At 42.4% G+C, this 15402-nt stretch overlaps 1 protein-coding gene across 9 annotated transcripts in view; it reads right to left on the bottom strand.

The window, feature by feature from the left end:
* Window positions 1-15011, bottom strand: part of ENTREP1 (endosomal transmembrane epsin interactor 1) — a 67890-nt gene extending 52879 nt beyond the window's left edge. For 4 of the 9 annotated variants that reach the window (NM_001347995.2, XM_047424086.1, XM_047424087.1 and 1 more), the window contains exons 1-2: window positions 13855-14363; window positions 3309-3365 (exon numbers count right to left, since the gene is read on the bottom strand). In NM_001347995.2, coding sequence (NP_001334924.1) covers window positions 3309-3365; window positions 13855-14268 — 471 coding nt within the window. In that variant the 5' untranslated portion in view covers window positions 14269-14363. Of the gene's footprint in view, window positions 1-3308; window positions 3366-5416; window positions 5998-9878; window positions 10254-13854; window positions 14364-14947 lie in introns of those variants that run through there. The other 5 variants (NR_170669.1, NM_001127608.3, NM_004816.5 and 2 more) reach the window with 5 other exon arrangements.

Genomic DNA, 15402 nt, shown 5'->3' with positions numbered 1-15402 from the left:
GGCAGAGGGGCTTGAGGGGGAAAATGGAGAAAAAATATCCATTAAGGGAGGGGCAGGGTAGAGCTTCCCTTGGTATCACTAAATTATCCCCTCTGTGCCAAAAAGAAAACTAGGCTCAGAAGAGTTCAGTGGCTTGCACACAGGGATGCTACTCTTAAAAAGATGGGCTAGGAATATCTGACTGGCATTTTTCCCTTTTGTGACATAACACAAGCATCTGGCATGAGTTATAATGGTATACTACTAAGATTCATATGAGCCAGGCATAGTGGCTCATACCTGTAATCCCAGAACTTTGGGAAGCTGAGGTGGGAAGATCACTTGAGCCCAGGAGTTCGAGACAAGCCTGGGTAATGTTGCGAGACTCCCATCTCTGCAAAAAATTTAAATATTAGCTGGGTGTGGTGGCACACGCCTGTAGTCCCAGCTACTCAGGAGACTAAGCTGGGAGGATCCCTTGAGCCCAGGAGTTTGAGGCTGCAATGAGCAGTGATCACGCCACCACACTCCAGCCTGGGCAACAGAGAAAGACCCTCTCTCAAAAAAAAACAAAAGATACATATGAACTGCGGATTTCTCATTTATGATACTGACTAAGTCTCCAATTATTAATAGATACAAAGTTTTCCCTTGTAGAATCCCTACAAATTAATTTATCTTCTTTATAAATTGATGCTAATTAACATTTCAAGACAATCTCTATGCGACCTTCTAAGTACATAACTCATAGCAGCCAAAATACAGAAGCTCAAATGTCCAACAATAGGGTAAAAATTGATGATGATACAGAAATAAGGCAGCAGCCTACTTACAGTTTTAAATGATAAGCATGTAGACTCCTCATACATGGAAACCTGATAATAGCTTAATTTTATATTAAACAGAAAAAGCAGTACATGACATAGTATGTACACACTGGTTACAACTTTGTGACAAAGTGCATATACTTAACAAAGATGAGAAATAAATGGATAAGAATGTAATAAGACAGGGCCATTTTCATTTAAGGCTGCTCAAGCTTACATAATAAATATGTGAGGTAGCTTTTTAAAAGACAACAAGGTCAAATAAATAAATGTCATAATAGGTATACTTTCTTGAATCTATTCTTAACACACTTATACTCTTTTCATCATTTGGAATTTTCAAAGTACAAATACCATTGAAGATTTTCTTCTTTTAATTCAATTTAAATACTGGAGATTTGTATTACTGAGTAATTTAGTATTGACTCAATGGAAAAAGACAGTGCAAAGGAGATTCCTGTTACCAAATATTCGTATAAACACCAACCAAAATTTTTCATAGAGACCATAAACCTAGAGAGTCATTGTGAAACAAGTTTCAGCCACTTATAACACAGGCTATACAACTCATCCAAAGTTTCAATTTCTCTCATCCTGCTGTTTATTAAAATGGTATGCTAAAAATTTATTCTTTCCAAAATTATTAAAGGAATTTCATGAAATACAATCATTGATGGAGTTGTAAAATGTTGCCTATGTCATCTTGTGGGCCTAAAAACACTTCAGGTTAGTTTTTCAAGACCATCAATACAGTATTGGGATCCATTAGTTATTCTGACACACAAAGATTCCGCAATATGCTTCTTCTCTATGTATTTAAAAATTTAAGGAGTTTTGTATTGATTGCCCGTTGCCTAGCAAACAACAATCTGTTTCAGATGAACTATTAAGCATATATACAAAATGACTTTAGAAAATTATTTAACTCCATTTCAAGATGGATGAGACAAATAAAAATAAGAGATATTATAGAGAAAAAAAATTTAAGTATACCACAATTCAAATCTAATTTCCTAGACCCTCTATTTTATCATTAAAAGTTGGAAACTCCATTAGCATTGTCTATTTTGATCCACTTCAAATGGTAAGTTTAAAACTGTAACTGATAAGTTTAAACTTATCATTTAAAACTGTGAATGATAAGTTTACAGTCGCTGAATCAAAATGACATAGCAAATAAAAACAAAGGATGAACATTGGAAATGTTCTAAAAATACCACTGAATTGTATACTTTAAAATGATTCATTTTGCTATATAAATTTTACCTCAATAACAAAAAAAGATAAAATCACCAGTATATGTCTATATTATTTCCAAGAGAATATAATATTTATGTGACAAAGAGATAATATAGCAAATCTATGCAACAAAATTCTAAGGTTGTTCAACTCAAACATTATAACAATAAAAAGTCATATATTCATGATTAATACATGAGATCTGCTTCAAAAGAATATAGAGGAGTCCAGGCGCGGTGGCTCATGCCTATAATCTCAACACTCTGGGAGGCCAAGGCAGGCGGATCACTTGAGGTTTGGGACTAGCCTGGCCAACATGGTGAAACCCCATCTCTACTAAAAATACAAAAATTAGCCAGGCGTGTTGGTGCACACCTGTAATCTCAGCTACTCAGGAGGCTGAGGCATGACAATTGCTTAAACCTGGGAGGCAGAGGTTGCGGTAAGCTGAGAACGTGCCACTGCACTCCAGCCTGGGCGACAGGGTGAGACTGTATCAAAAAAAAAAAAAAAAAAAAAAAAAAAAAGGAATAACAGCCGGGCTTGGTGGCTGACGCCTGTAATCTCAGCACTTTGGGAGGCCAAGGCGGGAGGATCACGAGGTCAGGAGTTTGAGACCAGCCTGACCAACATAGTGAAACCCCGTCTCTACTAAAAATACAAGAAATTAGCTGGGCGCAGTGGCGGGCGCCTGTAATCCCAGCTACTTGGGAGGATTGCTTGAACCCGGGAGGCAAAGGTTACAGTGAGCTGAGATCACACCACTGCACTCCAGCCTGGGCAACAGTGCGAGACTCCATCTCAAAAATAATAACAATAATAAATAAAAAGAATATAGAGAAAAAAGAATATGAGAGGAAATGAGTGGGAGTATAGCTGTAAAGATTGGCTGGAAGTTCATCATTATGGAACCTGGGCGATGGGTACAGGGAGTTCATTATTATTCCCTCCACTATTGTATATATTTAAAACTGCCCATAGTAAGTAGTTTTTTTAAAATTCTATCTTTAGGATGGGTTTAATGCTAGAACTAAAGACACTTGTATAGCACTGGGTACTTAAGGAGCTTAAAGTGAACCAGAAAACCAGCAAAATTATTATCTTACTTACTGGTTATGATCATCTGACTTCTAATATTATCTATTGTTAACTTATTTTTTTAATGAACAAGGAAGCTTAAGCATTTCTTCAGTGGTTTATATGAACAGACTTCATACATAGCACATTTTATAAAGGGTAGCAATTTATAAGATCAGTACATACCAGGAGTATCATAGGCCTTTTCCAAGTTGTTAATCCTATGATTCCAGAGAGTATCACCTGTAAGGATAAACTATCATAAATATAGAAAATGGACCAATTCCAATAAACAAATCCTCAGTCACAAAAGTACATATTTTTAAAGATACTGAAATTTCAAAGCATTCTAAATCAAACATTTAATATTCCTCCTGGATTACAGGGTTCACTCTGGTAGACCACTTTGGACTTTTACTTCTAGGCCCTCAAAGCTTTTTTATTGACTTTGTTTAATTTTGTTTTGTTTTTAAAGACAGGGCTTTGCTCTGCCACCCAGGCTGCAGTGCAATAGCACGATCATGCCTCACTGCAGCCTTGACTTTCTGGGCTCTGGTGATCCTCCCGCCTCTGCCTCTCCAGTAGCTAGGACTACAGGCGCACGTCAGGACTACAGGCGCATGTCACCACACCTGGCCTGTTTTCTCTTAATGTCAATTAAGAACACACAATCAGAAATTAGCCTCTCCTTCTGGTGAGTGAGGAATCACTATTTCTCAGTCAAGCTCCCTGTTCCTAGCATCACCCAATCTGTTGCCAGGGTCAGCCTCATCAGATGCATGTCTGGTGGCATCCTTCCCTTCGTCAGGTACCCATCCATTATGGGACAGGTAAAGTCTTCGAAATGGGAAACAAGGCCCTTCAAGATCTTCTCTTACCTGCTCTCAAGCCTGGTTTTTACATACCCTGGCCCCTCCACCACATACCTTCCTACCAAGTACCTGCCCTCCCTCAGGCCAACCAGGCTCCTGACATCCCTGGGCTATTTGCTTCTTTCTCTTTGCTGAAGTGCTGTGTCCTCCCAGCTTCCCTCCTAGCTGCCTGAGAACTTTTATCCATCCTGCAAGGCCCCATTTAGCAGTCACCTGCCCTGAGAAGCCCTCACTGATTCCACCGCTCCACACTCATGGAAGCCCTCTGCACACATTTCTTTTTTTCCAAAAACTCTATTGTAATAATTGAGGGATGTGTCTCTGAATTACCTACTAACTGTGAACTCCTGTCTTGTCTCTCTAAAGTCCTAGTTCCCAGCATTGTGCCCCAATTGTTGGCAATTAATATATGTTCTAGAGCATTTATTCCACAAAGTGGGAGGAACTACTGTGAGAAGGAGCTCATGTTGCAAAATGACACTTCAATAAAAAACGAGCTAAAAAATCTCAATAAGAAAAAACAGGCTGGGCGCGGTGGCTCACTCCTGTTACTCCCAGCACTTTGGGAGGCCGAGGCAGGTGGACTGCCTGAGCCCAGGACTTTGAGACCAGCCTGGACAACATGGTGAAACCCCATCTCCACTAAAATACAAAAAATTAGCTGGGCATGGTGACGCTACTTGGGAGGCTGAGGCACAAGAGTCGCCTGAACCCAGGAGGCAGAGGTTGCAGTGAGCTGAGATCGCGCCACTGCACTCCAGCCTGGGCGATAGAATGAGACTCTGTCTCAAAAAAAAAAAAAAAAAAAGAAAAGGAAAGGAAAGGGCCACTATTTTGCCAAAACATAAACTGGAAACCAAGGTCAGCCCTTTGGATAACACAGTTTGATAAACAATTGGGAAATGATAATCAAAGTAATTTTTCAGCCTGGGATGTGCTGATGCCATTTGAGCACTCTGAGCTTTGTAAAATAAAGTGTGTCTGCCAAAGGCAGCCATGAAGGTTTTCCTCTACAAGCACATTATACTTGTTCAAATTGCTCAAATGCACCATTTCACAATCAGTGTTTATCAACTACAGATCAGTAAGGACTTGACAGTGTCCCTTCAAATTCAAAACCCACAGGCCTGCTTGCAATATTCTCCATTCTCACTAGCTGAGAGTAATCATTCTGCAGCATCAGACCAGCATAGGACAAGTCTACCCACTTATATCAAGGATCAAAAACCATATACAGGCAGATAGGTGACAATTTCTTTGTGTGCCATCTATGTTTAAAGGTACTACTAGCTGCCTGCCCACCAGGCACTTTAACCTTGCAATCCCTTTAAATCCAATAGGATATTTCCTTACCCTAAACAATTTCTGCCTGAAGACACAGGGCAGGGCGTGTGTGACTCACAGTGTGTGAGTTGTACCTACTTTACAAATTGGGACTGCAATCCATGAGGTCCTGGGTTCCAGGCTCCCACTCAGCTTCTAAAGACTTAACTATGAGACCTTGGCCAAGTCATTTCACTTGTCTGGTCCTCACTTATTTCTTTAGAAATGCTGTAAGGGAAGGAAACCATCTCTTGGTCTCTTCTAGCTCAAAAGACTTACCTTATAGTGATGACAGTGATTCCTCAGAAATCTGTGACTCAGGGTGTAGGCACGTATGCTTGTGCATGTATGTGTGTATGCATGTGCTTGCATGTGTGTGCACATGTGTGTGCATGTGTGTATCCCTCTGTGCATGTGCATCCCACCTGCCCACTCCGGTGCCTACTGGACTTAGCTGAGGAAATTCAAGCTGTTCTTGTGAAAACATAACTTCATATTCAACTGCCCTTAAGGAAAACACAAATCTCCCAATTCAGTAAAAAATATGATTTGAATTATTAGTTAGCGTTTGACATTAATGCTACTGGTCTCCATTAATAGAGAACCCTGCGGTTCAGCTTTTTGGAATGTATTTTTTCTATTAAAACAATATTATTGGCCAGGCGCAGTGGCTCACACCTGTAATCCCAGCACTTTGGGAGGCCAAGGCAGGCGGAATACTTGAGGTCAGGAGTTTGAGACCAGCCTGGCCAACACGGTGAGACCCTGTCTCTACTAAAAGTACAAAAATTAGCTGGGTTTGGTGGCACACACCTATAATCCCAGCTGCTTGGGAGGCTGAGGCAGGAGAATCACTTGAACCCAGGAGGTAGAGGGTGCAGTGAGCCAAGATCACACCACTGCACTCCAGCCTGGGTGACAGAGTCCATCTCAAAAAAAAAATAATAATATTATTAAAAGGAAGTGTCCAGCCCCAGCCATAAAAGCCCATAAAATAGCAATATGCCTAAACTGTTCTGCCCCCCTCACCTACACAGCCACATCACCCCACCCTCCTCCATGTTAACAATCTAGCACGTTTACATATTTTACATATATATGTATTTTTCTCTAAATTCTTACTACACACACATGTCTATGTGTATATATACACACTCACAGGGATGTAATTTTTGTAAAAAAATCATAAAAGATATACTTTCCCTGCCTCTTCCTTTTCTCTCTCAATAAATACTTCATAGAAATCTCTTCATGTGCATTGGAACAGCTCTAATTCATTTTACTTTAGTGACTACATAACATTCCATCGTGTGGCTGTACTTAACGTATTCAATCATTTCCATATTAATGGGCATTCATTCTATGTCTAGTTTTTTGCTGTCACAAACAATGCTGCAGTAAACATCTATGAACATATATCTTTAAAAACAAGTGCTTTTATTTCAGCGGAAAAAAGTCCCAGGAGTGAAGTTTCTAAGTTGAAAGGTATTTCTATTCTTTTTATTTTAATAGATCATGACAGAGTCAACTGTCATTTCAAATGAGGTGTCTCTGAAACCAAAGAACTAAGCTATCTTTATTTCTTCCTTTGGAGGGGAGGTATTTTGTTTGCATATGGTAGCAACAAACTATAGAAAATGTAAGTTAAAAAATATGTACAAAATGTATATATGTACAAATACATGACAAATGAGAAACATCAATAATCTCAAAATGTATATGACAAAGATCTTTAAGGCCTCACTGGGGAGAAATACAAAGTTTATTGCGCAATATTAAATGAATAGCCAAGTCAGTCAAGGCATATACCAAGTCTATGGATTGAAGACAAACTAAGAATGTCATTTCCATTTAAATTGTTTTACAGACTCAGCACATATTCAAGTTAAATCCCACCAGGATTCTTGTAAGCCACCGCTCTTTACAATGTTTTAAGAAACTATATTCCAGCTCCAGGCGGGAGCTATAGTTGCAGCTCTTCATTCCTGAACCCCGCAACAAAGGCACACACCTACTTTTATTCAACTTCTCCCTCTCTTCAAGCCCAGTGAAGCCCTGAGGCACTTGGGGAACCCTGTGAGTGGTGATGGGGAGAAAAGCAAATAGAGGAAGTAGGCCTGGATGGTTAGAAGCCTCTCGAATGGTAATGGGAACAGAGGTGCTACAGTTGGGGATAAATTTTTTAAGAGCTCAAGACTTAAGGAATGATGCTTCCATTTCATCTGAAAGGGAGGCAGAATTCACAGACGGGGAAAGGGGTTGGGAAAAGAAGAAGAGAAGGAGACAGAGTATTCAATGCCTCCACCTCCCTTGGTGGCAGCAGTAGCTGGAGCTCCATCAGAAATGAGCCAAGAAGGTCCCTTAACAATGTCCTTCCATGGCTCCCATTATGCCACAATGCTATCAAATGTTTAACTGTATCACGATGAGGGCTTGGACCTGTGCGTACTCACTCACACACCACTAAAGGTTCCCAGAAGGCACTCAGTTAGTTATGGCAAGAGTCAATGAGTGAATGAATGAATGGAGGCCAGAAACAGGAGATGACATTGCTCAAAGATGACTATGTAAGACTAAACACACTTTTCATCCCCTGTGCTTCCTAAAAGAGTACAGCAGCAACAAAAAGCAACTCCATCAGCATTCTTTCCATCCAGCGCAAGATGAAACTTGCCCTGAATGAACAGGTAAGAACCTATTTTCTAACACCAAACAATCTCTATATTATTATGAGAGGTATTACAATTTTTGTTTCACTCACTGATAACCTATTTCTTGTAGCTTACAGGAAAAAGCAGAGGGCTTTCCTTTTTTCTGAGACTGCAAAGAAGGGCTCTGAGATACCCCAGGGAAGAGTCATTGTTACCCACCATAAATGGTTAATGTGCTTTCATTTTCCAACGTAAAAACCAAATCGTTAAGATCAGAAGCTTATAATTCTACTGCCCTATTTCCCTTTGCTAATCCATTAACTTGTATTAGGGCAAAAATGTTCTGAATCATTTATCAAAAGCTGCTGTATGTAAACACAGAGATTTTTAAAAAGCCATGTTGTAAATGTCCTGTGTTACTTTGTAAATAAGCAGAAAATAATATGTCAAACTTCTCAACAACCTACCCTGCCCTATAGCTCTTACAATGGCAACTTTTTAAAAAATGTGTGTGTATGTGTGTGTATTTCTTCCCTATCTGTCTAGCACAGCTCATTAAAAAAAACAAATTGAGAAAGTGGGCAACTGAATATTTCTAATGAAAACATGATGGTAACTATAATGTCCTACAAAAATACTGGCCTGTTCATTTTACTTTGATTAACTATTACCTCGGTATTTAAAAACCATTGATACAGGTTCCCGTGTATTCCAGGTCTGGTGCTTGGGTCCAGCAGTGATGCACTCTCCTATGTATACTCTAGCTACACCCTGACAAAATCAGCACTGAAGAAGAAGAAGCATCCCACCCATTTGACAGATGAGTAACTGAGGCCAAGAGGCACAGAACTTATAAAGGTGACTCTGCTGATATGCAAAATAAAGGACCAAAGAAATCAATAAAACTCATCCCCAAAATTATAGTTTAAATATCCCTTAAATATTAAAGTAGTATTTGATTAGTATGATAAAAAATATTTACTATCATTTAACTGGTAGTAACCATAATCTTTATGTTAGTTTTTCGTTTAGTCCATTGATTTTTCTTTATGTTTATTCACTGCGATTTTTTTTACAAAGGTTCACCCTAAAGTTCACCAATGTCTGTCTCTTTACGTGAAAGTAGAACCTTGCCAAAGAATCATGGACTCAAAGGATGATCATGAATTTAGATCAGTGACTTAAAGCACAGACATAGATGTATACAACTGATAAAGAATAATAGGGCACTCAGAGAGGAGTAAAAAACAACAACCAATTCTCTACCACTCATCTGAAATATCTCCCAAGGATCATGCATGTCATCAAAGGTAGGAATTTTGTTTCTGAAGGAGGAGAGACAACCCAATGCAACTCTCTCTCCTCTTTCATTAAATCTAGTGCAGTGTGGCCGACTGAGTCTCCCATACCCCAGTGGAATCTACTTAACCCCAGTGGAACCTAGCTAACTCCCTTACCCAGTGGAATCTAGTTAACATTAACTCCCATACCCCAGTGGAATCTAATTAAACCCAGTGGAACCTAGTTAACTCCCATACCCCAGTGGAATCTAGTTAACATTAACTCCCATACCCCAGTGGAATCTAATTAAACCCAGTGGAACCTAGTTAACTCCCATACCCCAGTGGAATCTAGTTAACATTAACTCCCATACCCCAGTGGAATCTAATTAAACCCAGTGGAACCTAGTTAACTCCCATACCCCAGTGGAATCTAATTAAACCCAGTGGAACCTAGTTAACTCCCATACCCCAGTGGAATCTAGTTAACATTAACGCCCATACCCCAGTGGAATCTCGTTAACTCCCACACCCCAGTGGAATCTAGTTAACACTAAACGCACCCCCCAAACCGAGAGCTAGGACAGCACAGCTGAAGACAGACACTGAGATCCTCCCTTAGCCACTCACCTCCAGTCAAATGCCAGGTTGTTTTTCAAGATGGCTCATCTCTTAGCTTCACGAATTTTGGGAATAATAATATATTGAGTGATTTACCGGTGATACCAGGAAGAAATCAAATGCTCAGAGTGCTCAAAAACACAGACTACGTTAAAAACTCTCCCTTCAAGTTGCTGAAAGTATGAATGAAAACTATGAAAAAAGATGCTTTATAGAATTTGTTAATTCTTAAGTGTTTTTTAAAATAGATAAAATATACCTTCAAAGTTCAAACAAGTGAAAGAAGCCTCCAAAATCTCAGGCTCAGGGCTCTCTTAAGGAAATACATATGAAAAAATATCCTTGAACTATACTGTGTTCAACAAATAGTCATTTCAAATAAATATATTTGTCTCTTGAACCTAATTTTGTATCAAATACACAAGCAAAATTTTCAGTGAAGCCTAAAGAAGATGTGTGGGTTCAGTTGATATAGCAGGCTAAAGATCCTAATGGTCAAAGCTTGAAATATGAGGATATTCTTCTACTGTGTTCCTATGTGGGTTTGAAGTAACCTTAGACATAAGTTGGCACTTCCATTCAACTACCTAGCTTCATATGCCAATAAAACTTGTGAGTGAATAAATAAACATGGCATATCCATACAATAAAATAGGAATGAAGTACTGAGACTTGCCGCAGCATGGATGAAGCTTGAAAACATGCTAAGTGAAAGAAACCAATCATAAAAGACCACATATTATATGATCCCTTGTATATGAAATATCCAGAACAGACATATCTACAGAGACTGAAAGTGGGTTAATCAGTGGGTGGCTAGGGGTGGGGGTGGTGGAGAATGAGGAGTAACTACTCAAAACTTTAGGGTTGATAAACATTTTCTAAAATTGTGGTGATAGTTGCACAACTGTGAATTTACTAAAAACCATTGACCAGTACACTTTAAATGCTAAATGGGTAAGTTGTATGGCATGTGAATATATGTCAAAGCTGTGTTCTTTTTTAATTCTGCAGTTCTCAACTCATAATCTTCCAACTTTTTTTTTTATAGAAACCTTAGTTTAGCTGTCTTTGAATTAGTTACAATGTCCTATCAAGCCCATTTCTTTTATAAGTACATACTAAAATACTAATGGCTGAAGTTGTGATACCTGGAATTTGCCTTAAAATAATCCAGGGGTGTTAGGAAGGGGGAGCAGCGTTAGGTATAAAGTGGCCATGTGTTGATAGCTACTGGGTGAAGGGTAAAATGCGGGATCATTACACCCTTCTTTCTACATTTGTTGAGTTTTTAAATTTTTATAATAAAAGATTTAAAATTGAAGGGAATGGTTCTTCGGACTGCCCACTCAATCCTATGCTGGTTATATTTTCTTGTGATAAAAATACACACATTGGAATATATACAGATGAAATGTGACACCTGAGATTTGCTTCCAAACAATAAGAGAATTTAATCTCACAAATGGACTAGGGAGCACGAAGGATCTAATTCCCACCCTGCTTGGAATATTCATCCTTCTGAAGTTTATCAGAAGACACAAGGCCAGCAGCAGAGCCCAGGAAGGGGGTGCAGATGAAACCATTGTTGAAGCTGGGTGAAAGGTATATGTGGGTTCATCGTATACTGCATAAATGTAAACTTTTCCATAACACGAGGTTTTTAAAAAACAACCTCTGTCACATGCATAAATTCAAAACATGTGATACAAGGCTTTTTTCCCCTAAAGCACCAAGAGAGTCATGGTGCCTAAAGCCATCCTCTTAAATTTGTATTTAATTGTTCTATAAATACAGTATCTACTGCTTCTGTTGTCACTTTGCAAATTCTGAGGTCAATCTCAGGAACAAGTCACAAAAAGTAGGAATAGCCAACAGTTATAGAGTTGCATATAGACCTGTGTTTGGAGAGTATGGGGAAGAATGGGGAAAGACATATAGCAGAGAACTTGTCAGTTCCAAATCACTGATTTCTTTCTCTCCTCTGGTGTGCCCAGACCTGGAGACAAGGACATACCCAGCCAGCAGACCAGGAGTATTAACCTTCACCTTCTGGTGGAAGGCCTTTTTTTTTCTTTTCTTTTCTTTTGGTACTTCATCAAATTCAACTGTGGCTTGACCGATATCTAAGTGCATTTACCTCTGAAATGATTCACAATAGTAAACTGATTTCAGCTTTTAATTTTAGAAGACAAAAAATAGTTTTTAAGAATCCTAAACTAGCTATGTTTGAGAAGACAATAGATTATGATTTTATAAAGAGCAAATTCCTAAAAATATATGCAAGATCATTACTGGCCCGTGGTATTTAGAGAAATGAAATGCACCCACCATTTGGCTGGACTTAGTCAGACAAACAGAATAGGTGGCATAACGGGTCTAATTCCTACCTTGTCTGGAATATCCATCCTTCTGTAGTTTTCCTGAACACTCATAGAGGCCAGTGGCAGAGCCCACAGGCAGAGCCACCAGGGTGGCGTTTTTTCATGAGGCACAAATCATGGCTTTCACTCACCACAGTCCAGCACGTACCCCAATAAGTTCATTCAACATGAAAGTATTTCAAAAGGAAAGCAAACTGACACTGGATGAAGTATACAATTTCAGGCGAGTCTCAAGGAACCTAACGTTCTTAATGTTCTTATTCAAACAATTACTTTGGGTTCAATTAGTTCTTCGAGTCCTTTTTTTTTTTTTTCAATTTGGTCTTGAATTGCAGTATGTGTGAAACTGCAAAAGCCGTTCTTACCATTCAGGACATACACTGATTATACATCTTACTAAAACCTAGCAGCATTGCTAGACTTTCAGATTTACACAGTGAGTTCATAGAAAGGTTATTTACGGTCGGCTGTGGTGGCTCATGCCTCTAATCCCCACACTTTGGGAGGCCGAGGCAGGAGGATCGCTTGAGCTCAGGAGTTGGAAACCAGCCTGGGCAACATGGGGAAACTCTGTCCCTTAAAAATAAAAATTAAAAATTAAAAAAAAAAGATATAAAGAGAGGTTATTTACTGTGCTCATCTTCCATAGTCATTCCACAAAGATGTGTTTCCAAGTCTCTCAACACCCAGAAAACGTCAAGGGGTTGGATGCCTTGGAAATTGTGAGATTGTTAGGAGGCAGGGGGGAGTGGCCACCCGGTGTCCATAGATACTGGCTGGCAGCAGCTTTTCTCTGAAGTTGGGCACTCTTTGGCCCCAGGCTCAGCGTTCCCGGTTGGAGGAGGGAGGAGTGGGTCCTGTAGAGCAGACATCTCTAGCTAGCTGCTGGGCACTCCAGGACTTTTGGCCAGCTCATCCATAATGACAGGTCCCGGTTCTCACAAACTGAATTCTGCACAGCAGCCTGCATGGCTCCAGGAACCCAGTGGGGTTAAGGCCTTCCTTTAATGACCAGGTACAAGCGCCAGTTCACACACACCCCCTCATTACCTCCTGAACTCGTCTGGGGGTCGAGCCACCCTACACATTTCACATTTACGTGTGTCTTAATGCAGAATAAAACAAGCGATGTGCCCCAGTCAAACTGTCCCATCTCACAAATACACCTACTATGTGCCAGGCATTCTTGATACATCAGTGAACAAAAATGATCAAAATCCCTGCCCTCCCAGCACAGACGTTGTCAGTGCAGCAAATACTCAATAACCAAAAGAAGTTTAATCATTTTCCTCCCACTTTCCTGCCACCCACACCCTGTCCTTCCAATCTCCCAAAGAGCTGGGTGTCTTTAATTCTATTAGCTTGACAGGGAAAATAAAATTCTTCAGCCTGCGCGCAACAGACACTACCCAGGTGCAACCCAATTCACCCCTGAACTCGACCGTCGCGGAACATTTTTCTCCAGCCTCCAAAAACTTCAGGTGGCGTGAGGCTCCCCCAACTGCAGCCCTGGAGGCCAACAAAGGGGCAATGGAGAGGAACGACCAGAGCCCCCTATCACCGGGATGACCGGGCGAACGGGGCGCGCGCGCGGTACTCACCGAGGAGCCGGCCCAGAACGGGCACGAGTTCTTCACCTGCGGGGAGCTGCTCAGCGACAGCGCCCCGAAGCTGAGCGCCACCATGCAGCAGCCCAAGATCAGCTGAAGCAGCCCAAGTGACAGCAGCGGGCGGGCGGGCAGCAGCGCGGAGCCCGGGGCCGCGGCGGCAGCGGCGGCGACTGCCCGGCGGGAGGAGAGCGCCGGCGGCGCGGCCAGCACCCCGGCAGCAGCGGTGGCCGCGCAGCGAGGCCGCGACGGGGGCTGCAGCGCGCCCCGGGGCCAGCGCGGCCGCAGCGGGGGCAGCGGCGGCTCCTGAGCGGCGGCGGCAGCGGCGCCCGGGCCCCCGGCCTGCGGCCCACCCGAAAGCCCAGCCACGGGGCAGCAGGAGCCCGGGAGCACCACGGGCAGGGACATGGACGGACGGGGAAGGGTGCGGCCGGGTGCGGCCGGCTGCGGCGGGCAGAGGACGCGGAGCGGAGCCGAGCCGAAGGCGCAGCACACTGGGCACTGCAGACGGGCTCCGAGGCCGAGGGGGAGGGAAGGAAATGCGCACGGCCCAACCACTTGCTGCCGCCGCTGCCGCTGCCCTGGCTCCAGCCGGCCGCACCCACCTGCCGCCTGGCGGGTCCGCCTCCCGCTGGCCCTGGGCGCACCCTCACTCTCACCCACGCGCACTCCGTGCTCGCGCTGTGCCGGGGCAAGTGCGCCACAGCCTCAGGGTCCCCGCCGAACCTGCGCCGGCTTCCTGGGGTCCTGGGAGGGTGCCCTGCCCCAAATATTTAAGTAAGTCCCTCGAGGTGGGAGGCACCTCACGGCCAGGACACGTCAGCGCCGGCCACCGAGAGTCTCAGCGTCTGTCCCCACCCGCCGAGCTGGGGCTAGAGAAGAGCGAGGAGCCTTCTCTGTCCAGCCACGAGAGAGGCCCTGGCGCGCTTTAGTGAGAAGGGGGCCCGCCCTTAAACTTTTGCCCAAGGAGGGGGATGCCTGGAGGAGGGGCTTTGGGGCGACTCGATGGGAAGAGGTGTAAGCCAAGGACTTCGGGAAGGACGACGCCGAGCGCAGTTACCGCTCACAGGGCGCAGGACGTGCCTACCTCGCATCGGCGCGGGAGTGCTTTCCCGGCATCTCGGTAGGAGCGGGAATGAAAGGACTGGGTTACCTTGGAAGCATCCAGCATCCGTAAAGAAAGTACCCGGGGCAGCCCGGAGTGCATGGCAAGTGTAACGCTCTGTCCTCTCATTGACTTATGAGCTATATCAGGCATCTATTAGGCATCACCTGATAGAACACGGAACCCCCAAACTTCCGAGGAAATATCCTAATAAAATCCTAAACTACTCTGGTAATTTATGAAAAATCTTTAGAGCAAAAAAAAAAAAAAAAAAAAAAAAAAGATTCCTCTTTGCAAAATGAATTCCCTTAATAATATACTTTTCACCTCGGAAGAATTCTAATGCGTAGAAAGTTTCGTGCCTAAAATGATTATAATGGACTTTTTTTCCTGATAAGAACCAGAGCAGTGTTCTTTGCAGTTAGTCAGTTCCAGTA

The sequence above is a fragment of the Homo sapiens genome, chromosome 9 (genome assembly GCF_000001405.40).
Source record: "Homo sapiens chromosome 9, GRCh38.p14 Primary Assembly".
Lineage (NCBI taxonomy): Eukaryota > Metazoa > Chordata > Mammalia > Primates > Hominidae > Homo > Homo sapiens.
Note: the sequence above shows the minus strand (reverse complement) of the source record. Positions and strands in the feature narration are given on the sequence as shown.